Here is a 23,501-nt window from a genome sequence, read left to right on the forward strand (position 1 = left end):
CAGGCAGATCACTTGAGGTCAGGGATTTGAGACCAGCCTGGCGAGCATAGTGAAAACCATATTTCTACTAAAAAAAAAAAAAAAAAAAAAAAAAAAGAATACAAAAATTAGCTGGGCATGGTGGCATGTGCCTGTAATCCCAGGAACTTGGGAGGCTGAGGTAGGAGAATAACTTGAACCTGGGAGGCAGAGGTTGCAGTGAGCTGAGTGGCTCACTGCACTCCAGCCTGGGGGATAGAGCAAGACTCCCTCTCAAAAAAAAAAAAAAAAAAAAAAAAGCAAAGGCTAGGTGCAGTGGCTCACACCAGTACGCCAGTAATCCTCAGTAATCCTAGGACTTTGAGAGGCTGAGGTGTGTGGATCGCTTGAGCCCAAGAGTTTGAGACCAGCCTGAACAACATAGGGAGACACTGTCTCTATAAAAACTAGAAAAAACTAGCTGGGTGTGGTGGCACGTGCCTGTAGTCCCAGCTGTTTTGGAAGCTGAGGAAGGAGGATCTCTGGAGTTCAGGAGGTCGAGGTTGCAGTAAGCTGTGATTACACCACTGCATTCCAGCCTGGATGACAAAGTGAGACCCTGTCTCAAAAAAAATAAAAATAAAAATAAAAATACTCCACCCCAACCCAGGGGCCATGGATGATGTACAGGCGACAGAGCTACACACTCCTTTCCTTTTGGAAGCAAGAAGAAAATACGTGAAAACGGAAATTAAAGATTCAAAATTAAAAAAAGAAAAAAAGAAAGGCCAGGCACAGTGGCTTATGTCTGTTATCCCAGCATTTTGGGAGGCTGAGATGGTGGGTGGATCACTTGGGGTCAGGAGTTTGAGACCAGCAACCAGCCTGGCCAACAAGGTGAAACCCTGTCTCTACCTAAAATACAAAAATTAGCCAGGCATGGTTACAGGAGCCCTGTAATCCCAGCTACTCAGAAGGCTGAGGCAGGAGAATTGCTTGAACCCAGGAGGTAGAGGTTGCAGTGAGCCAAGATTGTACCACTGCACTCCAGCCTGGGTGACAGAGCAAGACTCTGTCTCAAAAAAAAAAAAAAAAACAAAAAAACAAAAAAAAAAAAAAACAGAAAGAAAGCAAAGAAAAATTGTGTAATATTTGGTATATTAAAAAATTTAATGTAAATTATGAAGATAATAATAAAATCAGTCAATCCATCACTAAGCTTATGAACTAGAACATTACAGAAATCATACTGGCTACCCGTGTGTGCTTTTTCAGTCTCATTACATTTTCTCCCTCCAAGAGGGAAACACTATCTTAGATTTTGTTTTGTTTTGTTTTGTTTTGTTTTGTTTTGTTTTGTTTTTGAGACGGAGTCTGGCTCTCTTGCCCAAGTTGGAGTGCAGTGGCGCGATGTCGGCTCACTGCAACCTCCACCTCCTGGGTTCAAGCGATTCTCCTGCCTCAGCTTCTTGAGTAGCTGTGATTACAGGCGCCTGCCACCACGCCCAGCTATTTTTGTATTTTTAGTAGAGATGGGGTTTCACCATGTTAGTTAGGCTAGTTTCGAACTCCTGACCTCATGATCCACCTGCCTCGGCCTCCCAAAGTGCTGGGATTACAGGCATGAGCCACCGTGCCCAGACTATCTTGAATTTTCTATTAACTATTTCTTTGGTTTTTAAAAAATATATAGTCTTATCCCATGTATATGTTTTTCTACACAATAGATTATTACTTATGCCAAGTTTGGAGCTTTGTATTAATGGTGTTATATACAGATTTTTTTGCATTTCATTTCATGTCATGTCATGTCATGTCATTTCATTTCTTTTCATCTTGATGGAGTCTTGCCCTGTTGCCCAGGCTGGAGTGCAGGGGCGCGATCTCGGCTCACTGCAACCTCCACCTCTCAGGTTCAAGCGATTCTCCTGTCTCAGCCTCCCAAGCAGCTGGGATTACAGGCACATGCTACCATGCCCGGCTAATGTTTGTATTTTTTTTTTTTTTTTTGAGATGGAGTCTCGCTCTGTCGCCCAGGCTGGAGTGCAGTGGCGCAATCTCAGCTCACTGCAAGCTCCGCCTCCCGGGTTCACAGCATTCTCCTGCCTCAGCCTCCCGAGTAGCTGGGACTACAGGCGCCCGCCACCACGCCCGGCTAATTTTTTGTATTTTTTAGTAGAGACGGGGTTTTACCGTGTTAGCCAGGATGGTCTCGATCTCCTAACCTTGTGATCCGCCCGCCTCGGCCTCCCAAAGTGCTGGGATTACAGGCGTGAGCCACTGTGCCTGGTCTTTTTTGCCAATATTAAATACAGTTTTACTTAAGACATTGTATTTTCTACTTAAAGTGCAGTGCTTATAAGTGCAATGCTATTTCCTTCCCCTGTGCTCATGTTCCATATTCAAGATTTTTTTTTTTTTTTTTTTTTTTTGAGACAGAGTCTTGCTCTGTCACCCAGGCTAGAGTGCAGTGGCACGATCTCAGCTCACTGCCAGCTCCACCTCCCGGGTTCACGCCATTCTCCTGCCTCAGCCTCCCGAGTAGCTGGGACTACAGGCGCCCGCCACCACGTCTGGCTAATTTTTTTGTATTTTTAGTAGAGACAGGGTTTCACTGTGTTAGCCAGGATGGTCTTGATCTCCTGACCTCGTGATCCACCCGCCTTGGCCTCCCAAAGTGCTAGGATTACAGGCGTGACCCACCGCGCCCGGCCAACATTTTTTTTTGATGGTGACTTTCAATATATCAAAAGTTCTTAATATAGTTGGATTTGTCAATCTTTTCTGTTTAGGTTATGCTTATAGTATCTTCCTTAAGAAATCCTTCCTGTCGGGGCACAGTGGCTCATGGCTGTAATCCTAGCACTTTGAGAGGCCGAGGCGGGCAGATCACTTTTGAGGTCAGGAGTTCGAGACCAGCCTGGCCAACAAGGTGAAACCCCGTCTCTATTAAAAATACGAAAATTAGCTGGGCGTGGTTGTGGGCGCCTGTAATCCCAGCTACTCCGGAGGCTGAGGCAGGAGAATTCCTTGAACTTGGAAGGCGGAGGTTGCAGTGAGCCAAGATCACGCCACTGCACTCCGGCCTGGGTGACAAAGTAAAACTCTGTCTCAAAAAAAAGAAAAAAAAAAGAAAAAAGAAAAAAGAAATCTTTCCCTATCATGAATTCATAAGATGTTCTCAAAGTTTTAAGGTTTTATCATTGATAATTAATATGTTCATTTCAACAATTGCTAAAAAAGAATTCCATAAAATTCAACATCTATTGATGACTAATTTATTTATTTATTTACTTATTTCTTCTACAGAGTGGGACAGGGTCTCACTCTGTCACCCAGGGTGAAGTACAATGGTGTGATCATGGTTCATGCAGCCTTGACCTGTGCCCCACCATGCCTGGCTAATTACAAAAAAAATTTTTTTAGAAACAGAGTCTCCCTATGTTGCCCAGACTGGTCTCAAACTCCAAGACTCAAGTGATCCTCCTGTCTTGGCCTCGCAATGCACTGGGATTATAGGCGTTAGCCACTGTCCTCAGCCTAAGAAAAATCCCTTTAAAGATTTCCTATGTAGTCTTTTTATATTCCATATCTAATATTTCAATATCTGAATTGGGAATTTAAGTCTGTTGGTTTTGTGTGTGCACATGTGTGTATGTGTGTGTGATGCTGCATTTATGGTGGCTCATTCCTAATATTCTTGGCACTTTAATTTTTTTTTAGACAGTCTCACTCTGTTGCCCAGGCTGGAGTGCAGTGGAGCGATTTCAGCTCACTGCAACCTCCACCTCCCAAGTTCACCTGATTCTCCTGCCTCAGCCTCCTGAGTAGCTGGGACCACAGGCATGTGCCACCACGCACGGCTAATTTTTGTACTTTAGTGGAGATGGGGTTTCACCATGTGGGCCAGGCTGGTCTTGAACTCCTGAGCTCAAAGCAATCCACCTCCTCGGCCTCCCAAAGTGCTGGGATTAGAGGTGTGAGCCGCCATGCCTGGCCCTTGGCCTTTTTTTTTTTTTTTTTAAGACAGAGTTTCACTCTTGTTACCCAGGCTGGAGTGCAATGCTGTGATCTTGGCTCACCACACCCTCCACCTTCCAGGTTCAAGCGATTCTCCTGCCTCAACCTCCTGAGTAGCTGGGATTATAGGCATGCACCACCATGCTTGGCTAATTTTTTGTATTTTTAGTAGAGACGGGATTTCTCCATGTTGGTCAGGCTGGACTCAAACTCCTGACCTCTGGTGATCCGCTTGCCTCAGCCTCCCAAAGTGCTGGAATTACAGGTGTGAGCCACATTGCCCGGTCAATTTTTTTTTTTGACTAAGTCTCGCTGTGTCACCCAGGGTGGAGTGCAGTGGTGCCATCTTGGCTCACTGCAACCTCCGCCTCCTGGGTTCAGGCAATTCTCCTGCCTCAGCCTCCCAAATAGCTGGGACTACAGGTGAGTGCCACCACACCTGGCTAAGTTTTGTATTTTTAGTAGAGACAGGGTTTCTCCATGTTGGTCAGGCTGGTTTCAAACTCCTGATCTCAGGTGATCCACCCGCCTCAGCCTCCCAGAGCGCTGGGATTACAGGCGTGAGCCATCATGCCTGGCCTGCATTTTTAAATTTTAAGCTCACATTTGATATCAGAATCCTGAAGCCTAAATTAGGGATTCTTTTCTCCATGGGAACTATGTTTGCTTCTGTCAAGAGCCTAGGACTATTACTAACAAGGGAGCACTTTAACATCCTTTCAGAGTCCTGACTTAACTTGGTAAACTTCAGTTACTCCACCTTGCTGGGTAGTCCAGCCTTGATCTCTAGATTCTGTGTTAATGTGCTTCCTCTCTCTATCTTCTTCTCTCTATATACACATATATATTATATATATTCACATATATTATATATATAATGGCATTATATGTATTATATTTATATATTTTATGCCATTATATACTATATAATGGCATTGTATATATATATATATTTATGTATGTATATGTATTTATGTGTGTGTATATATATATATATATATATATATATATATATATAATGATGGCCATGCATACACACGCAAACACACACACACACACAAGCAATCCTCTCTCCTCATGATTGAGACTACAGGTGTGTGCTACTGTGCTGGGCTCCAGTTTCAATTTTTGAGAAGATCTGCTCAGTTCCAGCTAAACAACATTTTTCCTGGTATGCTGCTGTTTAGTTGGGTCAGATGTGGCCAATGAGAATAGGGTCCAGGCCAGGTGTGGTGGCTCATGCCTGTAATCCCAGCATTTTGGGAGGCTGTGGCAGGTGGATCACCTGAGGTCGGGAGTTGGAGACCGGCCTGGCTAACATGGAGAAACCCCACCTCTACTAAAAATACAAAATTAGCTCGGCATGGTGGCATGTGCCTGTAATCCCAGCTACTTGGGAAGCTATGCCAGGAGAATCGCTTGAACCTGGGAGGCGGAAGTTGCGGTGAGCCGAGATCATGCCATTGCATTCCAGCCTGGGCAATGAGAACAAAACTCCATCTCAAAAAAAAAAAAAAGAAAAAAAAAAGAATGGTGTCCAAATGCACACAGAATGTAATATCCAAATTAATTATCTACAGTTTCCTTAGCAAGGATTTGTAAGAAAAAAATAGAAGGAGGATAACTGGCATCGCAAATGAATGGCTTGGCTTGTTCTCTACAAGTGGTATATAAGTGTATCATTTAGAGTTCTTTCTGTGTAAGGAATAGAAAACTCAACTCAAACTGATTTCGGAAAAGTAATGTATTGGGTTACATACTGATAAGCCTAGAACAGCTGGCTTTAGGAGTAGCTGAGCCAGCCGGGCTCAGTGTAATCCTGGCTTTTGGGAGGCTGAGGTGGGAGAATCGCTGGAGCCTGGAAAGTTGAGGCTGCAGTGAGCCGTGATCATGCCACTGCACTCTAGCCGGGACAACAAAGGGAGACCCTATCTCAAATAACAACAGCAATAACAAACCAAAAAACAAACAAAATGAATGAATGAACCATTTTCTCAACTGATATTGTCAAAAATCTCTCACCCTGTCTTACTTCTGCTTTCTTCTGTGATTTCATTCTCATCCCCATCTATTCTAAGCTTAAATCCTCCTAAGCTTAAATTGAAAAAAAAAAATCAATTTAAATGAAAAATATAGAGACCCCTCCCCTTCTTTTTAGGATTATTCCTGAAAGGATGAAGCAGTATAATGTTCCAGAGCACGAACTCAGGAACCAGACTGGCTCACTTACTATTTTTGTAGCCTTTGATAGGTTAATTTTTGCAAGCCTTGGTTTCTTCATTTGTATCACAATAGTTCTTACTTCAGGGGGTTGTTATGAGGATTAAAGGAGTTGATATTTGCAAAATGCTTTAAACAGTGGCTAGTACCAAAAAAAAAAAAAAAAAAAAAAGGGAGGGGTGACTAAATCATCAGGTTTTGATTAGGTTGTAAGTTTACTCCTGTGTCCTAAGGGGGTCTGGTTAGAGTTGGGACTTCCTATCCAAAGTACATGGATCTGGAGTAGTGGAAGGATGGTTTCTTTTCTTTTTTTTTTTTTTAGACCGAGTTTTGCTCTTGTTGTCCAGGCTGGAGTGCAATGGCGCGATCTCGGCTCACTGCAACCTCTGCCTGCTGGGTTCAAGCGATTTTCCTGCCTCAGCCTCCTGAGCTGCTGGGATTACAGGTGCCTGCCACCACGCCCAGCTAATTTTTGTTATTTTTAGTAGAGACAGGGTTTCGCCATGTTGGCCAGGCTGGTCTCGAACTCCTGACCTCAGGTGATCCACCCGCCTCGGCCTCCTGAAGTGCTGGGATTACAGGTGTGAGCCACTGCACCTGGCTTTTTTTAGACAGAGTCTTGCTCTGTTGCCCAGGCTGGAGTGCAGTGGCGCAATCTCGCCTCACTGCAACCTCTGCCTCCCAGGTTCAAGCGATTCTCCTGCCTTGGCCTCCCAAGTAACTGGGACTACAGGCACACATCACCAAGCCCAGCTAATTTTTGTATTTTTAGTAGAGGCGGGGTTTCACCATGTTGGTCAGGCTGGTCTTGATCTCTTGACCTCGTGATCTGCCTGCCTCGGCCTCCCAAAGTGCTGGGATTACAGGCGTGAGCCACCGCACCCGGCCAAGATGGTTTCTTTTAAAAAATGTGGAGGGTTCATTACTAAAGGCAAGGGGAATGGATGCTGCATGAACATCAGCAACAAATTGTCTAAGGTAGGAAAGTTAGCAAATTGTTGCCTGAGGGCTCCCTTTATTACACAGTAAACACAAATTCATGTACAATGTTTCTAATAATAAAAAGGGACACAGATTAATCTGAGATTTCTGTTTATGCCTTTTGTTGTAAATAGGCACAAACTCTTGGGCGGCCATGGTGGCTCACAGCTTTGATCCCAGCACTTTGGGAGGTCCAGGTGGGCGGATTACCTGAGGTCAGGAGTTGGAGATCAACCTGGCCAACATGGTGAAACCCCATCTCTACTAAAAATACAAAAGTTAGCCAGGTATGGTGACCCACGCCTATAATCCCAGCTACTGGGGAGGCTGAGGCACAAGAATCGCTTGAACTGGGAGGCAGAGATTGCAGTGAGCCAAGATCACGTCACTGCACTCTAGCCTGGGAAACAGAGACACCTCCTCAAAAAACAAAAACAAAACAAAACAAAAAAAGAAACTCATTTTATTTACAAACAATAAATAGCATTATAGAGTAGCACTATAAAAACTATAAATTTGAATAGCACTTTACTGAACAAAGTACAAACATACATAAGTTAATTTCGTCTCCCAAGTAACTGGGACTACAAGCACTCGTCATCACGCACGGCCAAAGGTATTATTAACTTTAGTTAATGGTAAGGAAACCTAGCAAGCAGAAGTATAGAAGGATGTAAATTTTGCAGATGGTAGTAATTAGTGCTACTTTCTCATTTGTGCTCCCACTAAATTTTGTGTTCTATTGGTACTCATCATATGTTAATCATTTCTTTTCTTTTCTTTTCTTTTTTTTTGAGACAATGTCTCACTTTGTTGCCCAGGCTGGAGTGCAGTGGTGCCATCTCGGCTCACTGCAACCTCCGCCTCCAGGGTTCAAGCGATTCTCCTGCCTCAGCCTCCCGAGTAGCTGGGATTACAGGCGCCTGCCACCACGCCTAGTTTATTTTTGTATTTTCAGTAGAGACGGGGTTTTGCCATGTTGGCCAGGGTGGCCTCGAACTCCTAACCTCAGGTGATCCACCCGCCTCGGCCTCCCAAAGTGCTGGGGTTACAGGCGTGAGCCACCGCGCCCGGCCGGTAATCATTTCTGTCACTCAACAAATATTTATTGAGCGCTTGCTATGTACCAGGACCTGTTCTTGCACAAAACAGGCAATCCATGCATTGCTTACATTCACATTCTAGTGGGGGTAGTGACGGACCATAAAATCAGCAAGAAAAATGTATGTTATGATAGATGGTTATGAGTGCTTTAGAGTAAAATTAAGTAGGGGAGGCAGGCAGGAAGTGTGTAGTATGTTTCAATTTTATATTAGGCTGGTCATGGTTTGTCATCTATTTCACCTGGCTCACAGTTCTTGCAGGACAGGAACAAATCTCACTTCCATTTGCCTTCATACTTCCAGCACTTAACACAGCACCAGGAACTCAGGGAGGCAATAACTTTATACTGAATCCGTTTTATGCCTTCCTAGAGGCAAGCAGTTGAGAAAGGCGTGTAACTAGATATTGCCTATAAGGTCCACAATTGGAATAACGTAATCATTTATGATTAATTTTATTCATTTCCATTAACTTAAGCTAAGTTCTTTTAGCACGTTTAGATTACAGAACGAAAGCTGTGTTAACTAGTATTACAGGACTTTTCACGTTTTTCCAAACATCTTCTAGCCACCTCTTTGGCCCTACAACTACGCATAAGCTTTTGCTTTTCAAAAAACCTCCACAGCCTTTGCCAATTATTTGTTGATCTCGAGTAGTTGTTATAACAGCACTTGGGGTTTAACACTAAGGTTGCAGATCGCGCCCAGTTATCAGTTCCTCGAACCTCAAGGAATCACAAAGCAAGGTTCCACCCCCCGAAAAACTACGAAAAGTGAGAAAGCCTCTAACACTCCTCGCGCCGTGCCCAGCCGGAACCTTGACCTCAAGATGGCGTCCCGTAGTCGTAAGATTCAGTCGGCTCCAATCAAACATGGTGGGTCATAATTTACAGTTCGGGCCTTTCTAGTAACCGCTAGACGCTGCTTCTCTATGGTTATTCGTCTCGGCTTGGTGAGTCAGAGCCAACAGCGGAGACGATCTATATACGTTCTTCTCTATGGTTCCGCGCTCCCCGCCCCCGGCCGCAGTGCACGCCGGGCAAGAGGAAGACCTCCATCAGCTCGCCGCGCAGCGCGGCTGTATTTGCGGCCTGTGCGAGTAGGCGCTTGGGCACTCAGTCTCCCTGGCGAGCGACGGGCAGAAATCTCGAACCAGTGGAGCGCACTCGTAACCTGGATCCCAGAAGGTCGCGAAGGCAGTACCGTTTCCTCAGCGGCGGGTGAGTTTGTGTCTCTGAACGCGTGTGGAAACCGGGAGACCGGGTGCCTCAGCTGGTGGAGGAGGAAAAGCCGGGGTGGCTGCGAAAGCGCCAGGGTGGGGTAGAGGTAAGGGGGAGCGCGGAGGCGGGGGTGGGGGAGGGGTCGGCACGAGGCTTGGTTTCTTCTCTTCTCTAAGGCCTGGAAAAGCTGTGGGCCCAGCCGTAGCTGGTGGAGGCCAGACCTACGGCTTGAGCTTTCCGTCTTGCATTGTCGCCCACTTTCCCTTTCCCTTCCACGTTCCGCCGCGGAGTGAATCGTCTCTGCCCCCCCTGGGCTCCACGTTAGATACAAAACGATCGATCTGCCCCAGGGGAGCCCTTCCCTGAGCCCCCTTACTTACCGGAGCCCCACAGTAGGTTTTCGGGCCTGGGACACTCTCGCCCCAGCCGTTGCCTTGAAGTTAGCCTCTACCCACCCTTTTTAGCGAGGTGCTGGCCACCAACGGATATCTTTCCCTTCCTCTTTGGCCATCTAGAGCCCGCCACCAAGTGAACTGGGCCCCACCCCCTTGGAATTGAGCTAATACCTACCTTTTTAGCAGTCTCCTGGCTTGCTTAAGATAGTCATGAATTTTGCCATCCTGCCTCTTTTGCGCATTGGAGGGTGCAGTAAACTGTATATCGCCATTCATTCTAGGCGATTACTAAGCTCCACATTAAAATGTTACTTTCTCATTTTTCTTTGGTCGTCAATCCTGCTTTTAAATACGGTTTTCCGGAATAGACGTAGGACTATGAAGATTTTTCGGAGGTTATGTAATATGGATTTGTATTGCCATGGAAATGCCATTTTGATACTGGGCAGAGTGGAGCCAAGAGAAGGGAAGAGATTGGACCTCTGTTGCACCCTACTGCTGTATTAGTGTGAAGTACTCTGTGTATTAGGCCGTGGGCAGTAATGTATAAATAATTTTTGTATAGTCTTTGGAGCTTTTAATTTTTTTAAAGGCTATTTCCAAAAACATTCAGAGGACTTGAAAGGGATTAAGTTGGTCATAAGTTACTCATGATTCAAGTGAATCTTATAGTATTCTAATTCATTTAACTTAAAGCCTTGGTTTTTCTTTTTCTTTTTTCTTTTAAGCTTTGGTTTTTGTTCCTCTGTAAAATGAATTTATAGTAGTATCTATACGTTATTGGGGTTGGGGATTGAGAAAAACGTATGTAAAATCCTTCGTGCAGTATCCAGGTAACACACATAAGCATTTAAATCTATATTGACATAATTTGTTATTTAAGGATTTTCAATGAAATGTAAGAGTCCAACCCTGACTCTGTAATTTTTTTTTTTGTTTTGTGTTGTTGTTTTTTTTAAGACGGAGTCTTGCTGTGTTGCCCAGGCTGGAGTGCGGTGGCGCGATCTTGGCCACTGCAACCTCCGCCTCCCAGGTTCAAGCGATTCGCCTGCCTCAGCCTCCTGAGTAGCTGGGACTACAGGCGCGCGCCACCACGCCCGGCTAATTTTTGTAGTTTTAATAGAGGCGAGGTTTCACTATGTTGGCCAGAATGGTCTCGATTTCCTGACCTCGTGATCCGCCCGCCTAGGCCCCAAAGCGCTGGGATTACAGGCGTGAGCCACCGTGCCCGGCCTTCTGAATGTATTTTTAAAGTAAAACTAGTCCATGTTAACATTGGGTAACTACTTCAGACCTAACAGGAATTTGGAATTTTCAAGTTATGTTTTTGTCCACAGACAAATTAGCAGTTTACTTTTCTTATTTACACATGATTTAGTGAAAATTTACATTATTTTATAGCTTTGGAAGCAAAGGAATCATTTATCAATCTTAACATCTTGCTAAAACAGTCTGTATTTTAGAGATCTCTTGATTGACTTTTCAAACACTATCACTGCCATTCACAAAAGGGGATTTTTGATTCTTCTTAAATAGCTTTTCTACCTTTTTTTGAAAATTGAAAGTTGCTGAAACTAGAAGAACAAAATTCCACTACCCAGAATTATTGGTATTGGCTTTTAACTTTTTATTTAGACATAATTTCAGATTTACAAAAAAAGTTGCAAGAATAGTACAAAAGAAATCTCAGCTATCTTTCACCAGATTCCTCAAATGTTAACATTTTGCCAATTTGCTTTATCCTTCTCTTCATAGGTTTCTTCTGAAATGTTTTGCTAGTAAGTTGCAGATGTGATGCCCCTTAACCCATAAATACTTAAGTGTATTTTCTAAAAATTAGGACTAGTCTTACCTAACAACAGTACGACAATCAAAATCAGGAAACTAACACTGATAAAATACCTAATCTACAGTTCTTAAATAGATTTTGCCGATTTTTCTGAGTTGGTGTACTTTTTTTTTTTTTTCCTTTTTGGAGATGGAGTCTCGCTCTGTCACCCAGGCTGGAGTGTAGTGGCGCGATCTCACCTCACTGTAACCTCCGCCTCCCGGGTTCAAGCAATTCTCTTGCCTCATCCTCCATAGAAGCTGGAATTATAGGTGCCTGCCACCATGCCTGGCTAATTTTTGTATTTTTAGTAGAGACGGGGTTTGACCATGTTGTCCAGGCTGGTCTTGGAACTTCTGACCTCAGGTGATCCACCCGCCTTGGCCTCCCAAAGTGTTGGGATTGCGTGAGCCACCGCACTTGGCCAATATGCCTTTTTTAAAATGGCAGCTATATGAACTATATTGACATAGAAAATTCACCTGTAAGTGCACAATTCAATGATTTTTGGTAAATATACAAAGTTATGCATCCATTACCCCAAAAGGATTCCTTCTGTCTGTTTGCAAGTCACCCTGTTCCACCCCAGTTTCAGGCAAGCCCTCATTTTTCTGTATAGATAGTAGTAGATAGCGCTGCTTTTTTGTTTTATTTGGTTTTTGAGATGGGGTCTCTTTCACCCAGGTGGAGGGCAGTGCTGCGATCTTGGCTCACTGCAACTTCCGCATTTCAGGCTTAAGCAATCCTCCCACCCCAGCCTCCCAAGTAGCTGGGACCACAGGTGCACGCCACCATGCCTGGCTATTTTTTTGTATTTTTGGTAGAGATGGGGTTTCACCATGTTGCCCAGGCGGGTCTGGAACTCAGGCTCAAAGGATCCACCTGCCTCGTCCTCCCAAAGTGCTGGGATTACAGGTATGAGCCACTGTGCCCAGCCTTGTTTTTGTTTTTAAAAAGATGAATTCTTCCTGTGTTGCTCAGGCTGGAGTGCAGTGGCTATTCACAGGCGTAATCCCACTATTGATCAGTTTGGGAGTTTTGCCCTTCTCTGTTGGCAACCTGGTGGTTCTCTCTCATCCCAGGAGGTCACCATATTAATGCTGAATGGACTTAGCATGAACACCTGATCAGTAGCGTGCTGCAGCCCAGAACTCCAGGGCTCAAGTGATCCTCCTGCGTAGCTGTGACTATAGGCAGGCACAGGAGTGTTGCTCTTTAATCATTGAAAATGGTAAAACAACAAAAGTGGCAATGTCAGAAAAAGATCAACTCTTTTTTGGAGATTTCCAAACAATTGAGTATTTTCATACTTCTGAAAAGCTTTGCTGTAAAAGTAGTTTTTCTGTTAAGCATTTCCCATTCTTCTTTGGGCATAAAACACTTTTTTTTTTCTAGGAATAATTCCTGCAGACCTGACACATAATTGGAAGTAGATATTGAATGAATGAGTGAGTTGTATGTGAATATTTGCTCAGAGGAATCTCAGTTCATTATCATTTCAGAAATTTGGCACGTAGTGTACTGATGGAGCTAGTCTAAAATAATCTATCCTGGGAGAAATAATTTTGTTTCTATCTGGATAAGTCTACAATAGAGGAATGCTTATTAGCAGTGTTTTGCTGTATTTTGCATACTTGCAGTATTCTTAAGAGTGCAGAAAAAAATAGTTTGAAAGATTCAAAGAGAAAAAAGTGAAAAAAGAAAAGCTGAGTGCATGCATATGTTGAGTACTAGAGATATGTCTTCAGGGTTTCTTTTTGGACCAGATTTCTTGAGATAAAATTTGCATACAATAAAATGCATCTGTTTTAATTTCAATGAGTTTAGACAAATGCATATACTTGTGTGACCACCGCTACACTAGAGGTAGGGAACCCTTCTATCATAGGTTTCTGTTATTTTATTTAATTTTTGGGGGGCCTCACTCTGTCGCCCAGGCTTGAGTGCAGTGGTGTGAGCTCGGCTCATTGCAACCTCCACCTCCCGGGCTCAAGCGATTCTCCCATCTCAGCCTCCTGAGTATCTGGGACCACAGGTGCATGCTACCACACCTGGCTAATTTTTTGTATTTTTGGTAGAGATGGGGTTTCACCATGTCGCCCAGGCTGGTCTTGAACTCCTGAGCTCAAGTGATCTGCATGCCTTGGCCTCCCAAAACGCCGGGATTACAGGTATGAGCCACTGCACCTGGCCCAGGTTCCTGTTTTTATTATCGTGGGCTATAGAGTTTCTTTTTTTTGAGATGGAGTCTGGCTCTGTCGCCCAGGCTGGAGTGCAGTGGCACAATCTCTGCTCACTGCAAGCTCCGCCTCCCGGGTTCACGCCATTCTCCTGCCTCAGCCTCCCGAGTAGCTGGGACTACAGGCGCCTGCCACTATGCCCGGCTAAATTTTTGTATTTTTAGTAGAGACGAGATTTCACTGTGTTAGCCAGGATGGTCTCGATCTCCTGACTTCGTGATCCACCCACCTCGGCCTCCCAAAGTGCTGGGATTACAGGCTTGAGCCACCGCGCCCGGCCCGGAGTTTCATACTTAGCAGGAAAAGGTGCTTTGAACCTTCTAAAATGTGAGGTACTTTCAATATTTTAAAAAATGCTATGGAAATGATTTCAGTGCCATAAGATAACTCTGCATTTCTCTCTTTTAAATCCCACATATTATACAATCCCTCAGCAAATCCTATTGGCTGCCTTCAAAATATATCCAGGATCCAACAACTTGATAGCACTTTCACCACTACCACCTGTTCCAGGCCACCATCTCTCCAGGCTACCATCTCTTATATGGATTATTGTACCAGTCTCTTGCTTGTATCCTGTTCCCTTCCAGGCTTAACACAGTGGCCAGTGATACTGTTAAAATGTGACAAGTCAGAAACTCTTCAAATGATTTTCACCTCATTCAGAGTTAAAACTAAAATGTTTATTTACATTGTGTTACATAGCCCTACACTCTACTCATAATACTCAGTATTTATTTCTGATTTTCTTCATTTATTCTGCTCCAGTCATACTGTTGGCCTTGCTATTCCTCCCTCAAATACACCATTCCTGCTTCAGCCTCTTTGTATTTGTCTTTTCCTTTGCTTGGAAGTCTCTTTCCCCCAGATATGAATAGGGCTTCCTGCCTCTGCCTCTTTTAAATCTTTGTTCTAATCTTCACCTTCTTGGTGAGGCCTAATCGCTGTATTTAAAATAAACTACTCCATAGCTCTCTTCCCTAATTTATTTTTCTACAAAGTACATACCATCTTTCAATGTATTATAATTTATTTTGTTTATCATCTATAGGTAACAGATAAGCTTTGCTTATGATTATGAAAGTTAATTCTCAATCAGTTTCACATGGCAAAACACATAAACCTGTGTTGAAATAAGTAGTTGGTAATCTTTTAGGCTGCTTAAAGTGGACATTAGTATTTATCAAAGATGAGAAATGTTTTCTGATTTTCCATGAGAGACCAATCTTTTTTATTTTTGTTTTGAAATGGAGTCTCGCTCTGTCACCCAGGTTGGAGTGCAGTGGCGCGGTCCCAGCTCACTGCAACCTCTGCCTCCCAGGTTTAAGCAATTCTCCTGCCTCAGTCTCCCGAGTAGCTGGGACTACGGGCGCCTACCACCATTCCTGGCTAATTTTTGTATTTTTAATAGAGACGGGCTTTCACCATGTTGGCCAGTCTGGCCTCGAACTCCTGACCTTGTGATCCGCCCGCCTCAGCCTCCCAAAGTGCTGGGATTACAGATGTGAGCCACCGCGCCCAGGAGAGGCCAGTTATCTTAAAGGAATATCCATAAAAATTAGCTGTTAACTGGTATTTTTGCCTTCACCTTTGAAGTCCAGCCTATCAACAAGCAAGTTTTGGCAGCTCCAAATAAAGGGGAATATGTTATGGAAAAATTTGAAGTGAATGGAATGGGTATATTGGCATAAACGAAAATTAAATATATCTGGTTAACTCTGCAGAATGAATTACACATTTAAAAACCATAAAATATAACTTAAATACCAAGAATATAGAGTTTTACTTTTTTTTTTTTTTTAGACGGAGTCTTACTCTGTCGTTCAGGTTGGAGTGCAGTGGCGCGACCTCGGCTCACTGCAACATCTGCCTCCCAGGTTCAAGCAATTCTCCTGCCTCACCTTCCAGAGTAGCTGGGATTACAGGTGCGCACCACCACACCTGGCTAATTTTGTTTGTTTGTTTGTTTGTTTTCTTTTGAGACAGAGTCTCACTGTGTCACCCAGGCTAGAGTGCAGTGGCGCGATCTCGGCTCACTGCAACCTCGGCCTCCCGAGTTCAAGTGATCTCCTGCCTTTGCCTCTTGAGTAGCTGGGATTACAGGCACCCGCCACCACACCCAGCTAGTTTTTGTATTTTAGTAGAGACGGGGTTTCACCATGTTGGCCGGGCTGGTCTCCAACTCCTGACCTCAAGTGATCGGTCTGCCTCGGCCTCCCAAAGTGCTGGGATTACAGGGGTGAGCCACTGTGCCCAGCTAATTTTTTTTTTTTTTGAAACTGAGTCTTGCTCTGTCGCCAAGGTGGAGTGCAGTGGCGCAGTCTTGGCTCACTGCAACCCCTGCCACCCAGGTTCAAGCAATTCCCCTGCCTCAGCCTCCTGAGTAGCTGGGACTACAGGCGCACACTACCATGCCTGGATAACTTTTTGTATTAGATACGGGGTTTCGCCGTGTTGGCCAGGATGGTCTTGATCTCCTGACCTTGTGATCTGCCTGCCTTGGCCTCCCAAAGTGCTGGGATTACAGGCATGAGCCACCTCACCCAGCCCAGTGTTTATATTTTTAGTGGAGACAGGGGTTTCACCATTTTGGCCAGGCTGGTCTCGAACTCCTGACCTCCAGTGATCTGCCCGCCTTGGCCTCCCAAAGTGCTGGGATTACAGGTGTGAGCCACCGCCCCTGACCGAGAGTTTTAGTTTTTAAGCATTATTTATATCTAATATTATTGGGGGAAAAGTGGTTTTAAAAATGAGTTCATGGCCCAGTCTTGTAACCATTGTGAGGCTAGGCACTGGGCCATTGCTAGAATATAGTATGCGGCATGAGATAGCATAATAAATTTGTTTATTGAAGTCCTCAGAGTTTGTTTACTGATTTATTCATTAATCAGTTTATTCAACAGGTATGAAAACCAACTATCCTAAGAAAGCACTGAGATAGGCTATTATAATGATAATAGAAGAGCTTCTGTAAGTAGGACAGTAGCCCTTTCTGTTTTAAAAAGAGATACCACCCCCAGTTTTTGGTTTTGGTCAAAAAGTTTTACAGAAAGTTTATTTTAAAACTCAACACATTTACAGTCTTGCAATCTTGTGTTTTTCATTGTTAATATGTACTGATAACCTACCTACTGTTTAAAACATTTCTAATACCTCATTTGCCAAGTATATTAAATCCTCCTAAGGGCTGGGCGCAGTGGCTTATACCTGTAATCCCAGCACTTTGGGAGGCCGAGGCCGACGGATCACTTGAGGCCAGGAGTTTGAGACCAGCCTGGCCATACATGGTGAAACCCCGTCTCTACTAAAAATACAAAAATTAGCTGAGCTTGGTCGTGCGTGCCTTGTGGTGTGCACCTGTAATCCTAGCTACTTGGGAGGCTGAGGCAGGAGAATCGCTTGAACCCGACAGGCGGAGGTTTCAGTGAGCTGAGATGGTGCCTCTGCACTCCTGGGTGACAGAGCAAGACTCCATCTCAAAAAAAAAAAAAAAAAAATGCATCCTAGGGATTCCTTTACCTATAAAGTTTTCTAAATATTTTAAGTATACTGTGTTTTCTGAAATTGAAGTTTAGTTTTATTGAATATGGTATTATCCCAATTTAAGTCAAAGGAATTCTGAGGAAGTAGAGCTGTGAGCATGTAGGTCATGCTTTTCTGTTTTAAAGAAATGTCTAGTAAACAGGTAAACGCATACTCAACCTCATTAGTCATGAGGGAAATGTAAATTGAAATAAGAGTATATTTTACTTATGAAATTGTGAGAATTTTGACACTGATCTATTCTACCAATGATGAGGATATGAGGAAAGGGCATACCCATATTCTGGTGGTGGGAATATACATTTATATGCTAGTTTTCAGGGATGATTTTGGAGGTAAAGTTTGGATACATATAATTTTTTTTTTTTTTTTTTTTGATGTGGATTCTTGCTCTGTCGCCCAGGCTGACGTGCAATGGCACCGTCTCGGCTCACTGCAACCTCCGCCTCCCAGGTTCAAGCGATTCTCCTGCCTCAGCCTCCTGAGTAGCTGGGACTACAGGCACCTGCCATCACACCCAGCTAATCAGATACATATAGTTCTAACCTGTATTAGAGAATTACCTGTACAGATGCATACAGTTATATGTCTATTATCTCCAGGAATGTTCAACATTATTTGTGAGAGCTGAAAGTGGAGCCAACTGTTAATGTTGGTTAAATAAATATGTCCGTATTATAATAATTTACTGCATTATTATTATTTTATTATTTTTGAGGCAGTCTTGCTCTGTCACCAGGCTGGAGTGCAGTGGCTTGATCTCGGGTCACTGCAGCCTCCACCTCCCGGGTTCAAGCAATTCTCCTGCCTTAGCCTCCCAAGAGCTGGGACTACAGGCATGTGCCACCACGCCTGGATAATTTTTGTATTTTTTTCATGTTTTATTGCCTGTATTTTTTTTTTTTTTTTTGAAACAGAGTCTCGCTCTGTTGCCCAGGCTGGAGTGCAGTGGCGCGATCTTGGCTCACTGCAAGCTCCGCCTCCCAGGTTCACGCCATTCTCCTGCCTCAGCCTCCCTAGTAGCTGGGACTACAGGCGCCTGCCACCGCACCCAGCTAATTTTTTTTTTTTTTGTATTTTTAGTAGAGACGGGGTTTCACCGTGGTCTCGATGTCCTGACCTCGTGATCCACCCGCTTCGGCCTCCCAAAGTGCTGGGATTACAGGTGTGAGCCACCGCGCCCGGCCTGTATTTTGTTTTTATATGTATCATTAATTCTTAAAAATTAAGATTTTGAATCTCTTTGGATATTTATTAGGCTTCAAAGATCTTGATGGAGCAGTCTGAGTTGACTGCCAGTTTCTTAAGTTGGCGGTAAGGCTGGGGTGCAGCGCACACTGGTTTAGCGTGAGCAGTGATCACTAAGCACATGAGCTACGACCACCCCAACTTTACCTCGTTCACAGACAGAACTGGAAGGTTGGTCCTAGATGGCTGCTTGGTCCTGGATGCTTTAGTGGTCTCTTGATATGTGGAAAGCCTTGTTTTGGAACAAATGTTTCCATTGATACAGATGAGAAATGCCTCTTTAATATTTTTATAAACCATTTAGACCCCAATAGATTTGGTTTGTGGGTCACTCTCTTGTGAGTACCAAAGGATTTCATGGTTGGAAGGTGTGCCTTTTCGTCTTGGCAGTGAGCAGCATTTAATGGAGAGACAATGCTTGTATTTGATTTTTTTTTTTTTTTTTTGGTTCATTTACAGGATCTGAGACTTATTCAGACTACCAGCTGTATTATCAGGAAGGAACAAATCCAAGTTTTGACGTATTGTCAGTGTGCCGCATGTTGTATTTTCAAATTCCTTTAGTGGTTTTAACATTAGATGACCAATTCTTTGGCACTGATGTGCTTTTGCCAGTGTACGGTAGATCTGACCATGGCTCTGAGAAGTCTGGCTGGCATTACCACATCCCAAGCTCTCTGTCCAAAGAGAAGGAAGCGCCAGGGACGCACGCTTCCTTGGCTGGACTGCAGGAAAAGAGCTGCAGCACCAGCCTCTCATTACTGCAGCCACCCCCTCTCCTAATTTTTGTATTTTTAGTAGAGATGGGGTTTCACCATGCTGGCCAGGATGGTCTCAATCTCTTGACCTTGTGATCCACCCACCTCGGCCTCCCAAAGTGCTGGGATTATGAGCGTGAGCCACCACGCCCAGCCAATTTACTGCATTATAAAGGTGGAATAAGACTTTATTTTTATTTTTTATTTTTTTAGACAGACTCTGTCACCCAGGCTGGAGTGTAGTGGCACGATCTCAGCTCAGTGCAAACTCCGCACCCTGGGTTCAAGTGATTCTCTTGCCTCAGCCTCCCGAGTAGCTGGGATTACAGACATGTGCTACCACACTTGGCTGATTTATGTATTTTTAGTAGAGATGGGGTTTCACCATGTTGGCCAGGCTGGTCTAGAACTCTTGACCTCACGTGAGCCCCCTGCTTTGGCCTCCCAAAGTGTTGGGATTGCAGACGTGAGCCACCATCCCGGCTTGGAATAAAACTTTTGTGAACTGACATGAAGAGATGGCAATTATAACGAGGGAGAAATTCACATGATGTGATTGGTTGTAGAAAAATAAAAATTATTAGTTCATAGAATGATATTAAGAAGAGCACAGCAGTAGATACCAAACTGTTGGGATTGGGGGCAAGGAAGTGGAAGACTTAAACTTTTTATGTTTTCTCTTTTTATGTTTCTGTAAAACATGAAAGACAAAATAGTAGAGACAAATATTTTTGTTTGTTTTTTGAGATGGAATTTTGCTCTTGTTGTCCAGGCTGGAGTGCAATGGCACACTACAATCTCCACCTCCCTGGTTCAAGCGATTCTCCTGCCTAAGCCTCCCATGTAGCTGGGATTACAGGCATGCACCACCATGCCCAGCTAATTTTGTATTTTTAGTGGAGATGGGGTTTCTCCATGTTAGCTAGACTGGTCCTGAACTCCCAACCTCAGGTCATGTGTCCGCCTCGGCCTCCCAAAAGTGTTGGGATTACAGGCATGAGCCACCGTGCCTGGCCGACCCTGTTTCTTAAAAAAAAAAAAAAAAAAAAAAAAAAAAAAAAAGTGTGTTGCTGAAAATAAAGTTTGAGGTGAAAAAAAAATTTTTTTCTTTCTTTTTTTTTTTTTTTTGAGACAGGGTCTTTCTCTGTCTCTCAGCCTCAAGCCATCCTCCTGCATCAGCCTCCCAAGTAGTTGGGACCATAGGTATGCACTATCATGCTTGGCTAATTTGGAAATTGTTTTTAATACTAAAAATGCTAATGTTTAAATATTAACATTAAATGGCAATACTTAATAAAATGACAAAGTTTTCTTTAACATGACAAACTAAGTGAAACAGTTAAATGTGTTCTTTTTTTTCTTTTTCTTTTTCTTCCCACCCCGAGACAGAGTCTTCCCCTGTCACCCACGCTGGAGTGCAGTGGATTACAAGTGATTCTCCTGCCTCAGCCTCCCGAGTAGCTGGGATTACAGGCGCACACCACCATACCCTGCTAATTTTTTTTTGTTTGTTTGTTTTAGTGGGGACGGGGTTTCGCCATGTTGGTGAGGCTGGTCTCGAACTCCTGACCTCAGGTTTTCCACCCGCTTTGACCTCCCAAAGTGTTGGGATTACAGGCGTGAGCCACTGCAACCAACCTGTTCTTAAACTTTAAAAAATCAAATGCTAGCTTCTGATTCTTCAGTTTTGATTCAAGAATGGTTACAAAGTTTACTTTTAAGTTTAAAAAAAAAAACTATGACTTTTTTTTCTCTTGTCAAAAGTTGTATGTTCTCTTTATATTTGAATGGTTACTATCTGACTGGAAGTCAGGAGTTTATTTCCCCCTGCTGAGATGTATGGTTCATGAGCACATTTGTCTCTTAGGTAGTGGCCAGCATTGAAGCAACAAATACTGTGTAACTTGGTACCTTTAGTTTTTAGGATTCTGATAGATATAAGAAAAATGGGCCGGGCGCGGTGGCTCAGGCCTGTAATCCTAGCGCTTTGGGAAGCTGAGTCAGGCAGATCGTGAGATCAGGAGACCGAGACCATCTTGGCCAACATGGTGAAACCCCGTCTCTACTAAAAAGATAAAAATTAGCTGGGCGTGGTGGCGCGCACATGTAATCCCAGCTACTCAGGAAGCTGAGGCAGGAGAATTGCTTGAACCCAGGAGGTGGAGATTGCAGTAAGCCAAGATTGCACCACTGCACTCCAGCCTGGCGATAGAGCGAGACTCCATCTCAAAAAAAAAAAAAAGGCCAGGCATGGTGGCTCACGCCTGTAATCCCAGCACTTTGGGAGGCCGAGGAGGGTGGATCACTTGAGGTCAAGAGATGGAGACCATCCTGGCCAACATGGTGAAACCCCGTCTCTACTGAAAATACAAAAATTAGCTGGGCGTGGTGGTACGCTCCTGTAGTCCCAGCTACTTGGGAGGCTCAGGCAGGAGAATCGCTTGAACCCGGGAGGCGGAGGTTGCAATGAGCAGAGATTGCGCCACTGCACTCTAGCCTGTCCACAGAGTGAGACTCTGTCTCAAAAAAAAAAAAAAAAAAAAATCAGAACACTTAAAAACTATTAGATACCCATCTGAATTCTCAGTTTGGTCTAAAAAGATTCGTTTATGTGTGGTATTTAATTTTTGGATATTAACTGAACCTCAAAATTTTTTTCTTCCTTTATATGTATTCCTACATGATTGTAGGAGTCTGTCCTGAACTTCGATCATGTACATTTTGGAAACTTATTTTAGAAAAAATCTAAGTCGTAAGAATTCTCAATGAAAAGAGGGTCTTTGCCAATTTCTTTGGGTAAGAAAAGTTCAGAATTTTGCAGATACTCTAAAAATGAAAGTCAACAAAGAAGGCATATAAAATTGTGACGTTTTCAAATAAAATGATTTGTCATGTCCTTTTTTCTTTAGACTGCTGCAGTAAGAATGTCTTTTCCACCTCATTTGAATCGCCCTCCCATGGGAATCCCAGCACTCCCACCAGGGATCCCACCCCCGCAGTTTCCAGGATTTCCTCCACCTGTACCTCCAGGTAAGTTTGTTGATACTGTTTTTTGTCGTTAAACTTGTACTTTTGTCTTTGTGATACTAACTTCAGGAAAATGTTAGATATGTGACTGTGTTAGTGAAGATGCCTCTCAGCGTTGTTTGGGAAATGTGGATGTCTCTTTTTCCTATAGCAGTAGCTTTTATATCTGGCTGAGTATCAAACTCATCTGGAAATTTTTTTTTTTCTTCTCATCTGGAAAGTTTTTAAAAAATTCTTTTTTTTTTTGAGCTAGAGTCTTGCTCTGTCACACTGGCTGGAGTGCAGTGGCACGATCTCCGCTCACTGCAACCTCCACCTCCTAGGCTCAAGCAGTTCTCTGCCTCAGCCTCCTGAGTAGCTGGGATTGCACGCACCTGCCACCATGCCTGGCTAAGTTTTATATTTTTAGTAGAGACAGGGTTTTGCTATGTTGGCCAGGCTGGTCTCGAACTCTTGGCCTCAAATGATCTGCCGGCCTCCGGCTCCCAAAGTGCGGGATTACAGGTGTGAGCCACCATGCCCAGCCTAAAAATTCTATATTTAAAAAAAATGGGTAATACATACACATTGTTCAAAAACAAAAAAAAAATACAGAAAGTAATACAGTGAAAAATTTTCTTCATATACTCCCATAACTGCTATTGCTATCCCCTTACTAAAAAGGGAAGCAATAAGGTTATTAGTTTTTTCTTGATTTTTCCAGATACTTAAAAGTGTATATTATAAGTCAATATAAGTAAAGATTTATGGAGTTAAAAAAAATGTTCAGACCCTGCTCCATCCCCCTGAATCAGATCCTCAGAAATTGGGGCTCAGGATTCTTAATTTTTAACAAGTTCACAGGTAATTTTTGGCACTCATTTAAGCATGGAGAATCCACATTTGAGAACCATTATCCTGAAGTACATAGTGAACATTGCTTATGCTGGGTGTGGTGGTGCGTGTCTGTTGTCTTGGCTA

General features: G+C 43.6%; 1 protein-coding gene, 1 long non-coding RNA gene and 1 pseudogene across 7 annotated transcripts in view, besides 6 other annotated features; 1 reads left to right on the forward strand and 2 right to left on the reverse strand.

Annotated features, from left to right (window-relative positions):
• Window positions 1-7,626: 7,626 nt before the first annotated feature.
• RBM25-AS1 (RBM25 antisense RNA 1) lies at window positions 7,627-10,250 on the reverse strand. Of its 4 annotated transcripts, none has more exons than NR_184256.1 (2): window positions 10,073-10,250; window positions 7,627-9,554 (listed from the first exon to the last, which is right to left on the reverse strand). It is a non-coding gene; the product is annotated as an RBM25 antisense RNA 1 (long non-coding RNA). The 4 variants fall into 4 exon arrangements; NR_184255.1 differs by having other exon boundaries at window positions 7,627-9,581; NR_184257.1 differs by lacking the exon at window positions 10,073-10,250 and adding an exon at window positions 9,883-10,032.
• Window positions 8,608-9,572: an enhancer, noted in NCBI's record as "NANOG-H3K27ac-H3K4me1 hESC enhancer chr14:73524519-73525483 (GRCh37/hg19 assembly coordinates)". NCBI's record gives its function as "activates a minimal SCP1, AML or CMV promoter by ChIP-STARR-seq in naive H9 embryonic stem cells {active_cell/tissue: H9 hESC(naive)}" and the evidence as "EXISTENCE:reporter gene assay evidence [ECO:0000049][PMID:30033119]".
• Window positions 8,608-9,843: a biological region, named in NCBI's record as "MED14-independent group 3 enhancer GRCh37_chr14:73524555-73525754".
• Window positions 8,644-9,843: an enhancer, noted in NCBI's record as "MED14-independent group 3 enhancer chr14:73524555-73525754 (GRCh37/hg19 assembly coordinates)". NCBI's record gives its function as "activates an origin of replication core promoter dependent on BRD2, BRD4, P300/CBP and CDK7 cofactors, and independent of MED14, by STARR-seq in HCT116 cells {active_cell/tissue: HCT116}" and the evidence as "EXISTENCE:reporter gene assay evidence [ECO:0000049][PMID:35650434]".
• Window positions 8,896-9,435: an enhancer, noted in NCBI's record as "active region_8693". NCBI's record gives its function as "activates an Ori minimal core promoter by ATAC-STARR-seq in GM12878 lymphoblastoid cells {active_cell/tissue: GM12878}" and the evidence as "EXISTENCE:reporter gene assay evidence [ECO:0000049][PMID:35858748]".
• RBM25 (RNA binding motif protein 25) overlaps window positions 9,331-23,501 on the forward strand; it is a 65,366-nt gene continuing 51,195 nt past the window's right edge. For 2 of the 3 annotated variants that reach the window (NM_021239.3, XM_047431641.1), the window contains exons 1-2: window positions 9,331-9,502; window positions 22,424-22,544. In NM_021239.3, coding sequence (NP_067062.1) covers window positions 22,439-22,544 — 106 coding nt within the window. In that variant the 5' untranslated portion in view covers window positions 9,331-9,502; window positions 22,424-22,438. Of the gene's footprint in view, window positions 9,503-15,768; window positions 15,891-22,423; window positions 22,545-23,501 lie in introns of all 3 variants that reach the window. The other variant, XM_011537044.4, reaches the window with a different exon arrangement.
• Window positions 15,745-16,245: an enhancer, noted in NCBI's record as "H3K4me1 hESC enhancer chr14:73531656-73532156 (GRCh37/hg19 assembly coordinates)". NCBI's record gives its function as "activates a minimal SCP1, AML or CMV promoter by ChIP-STARR-seq in naive H9 embryonic stem cells {active_cell/tissue: H9 hESC(naive)}" and the evidence as "EXISTENCE:reporter gene assay evidence [ECO:0000049][PMID:30033119]".
• Window positions 16,246-16,746: an enhancer, noted in NCBI's record as "H3K4me1 hESC enhancer chr14:73532157-73532657 (GRCh37/hg19 assembly coordinates)". NCBI's record gives its function as "activates a minimal SCP1, AML or CMV promoter by ChIP-STARR-seq in primed H9 embryonic stem cells {active_cell/tissue: H9 hESC(primed)}" and the evidence as "EXISTENCE:reporter gene assay evidence [ECO:0000049][PMID:30033119]".
• Window positions 18,900-19,537, reverse strand: LOC100422493 (required for meiotic nuclear division 1 homolog (S. cerevisiae) pseudogene; annotated as a pseudogene).

The sequence above is a fragment of the Homo sapiens genome, chromosome 14 (genome assembly GCF_000001405.40).
Source record: "Homo sapiens chromosome 14, GRCh38.p14 Primary Assembly".
NCBI lineage: Eukaryota > Metazoa > Chordata > Mammalia > Primates > Hominidae > Homo > Homo sapiens.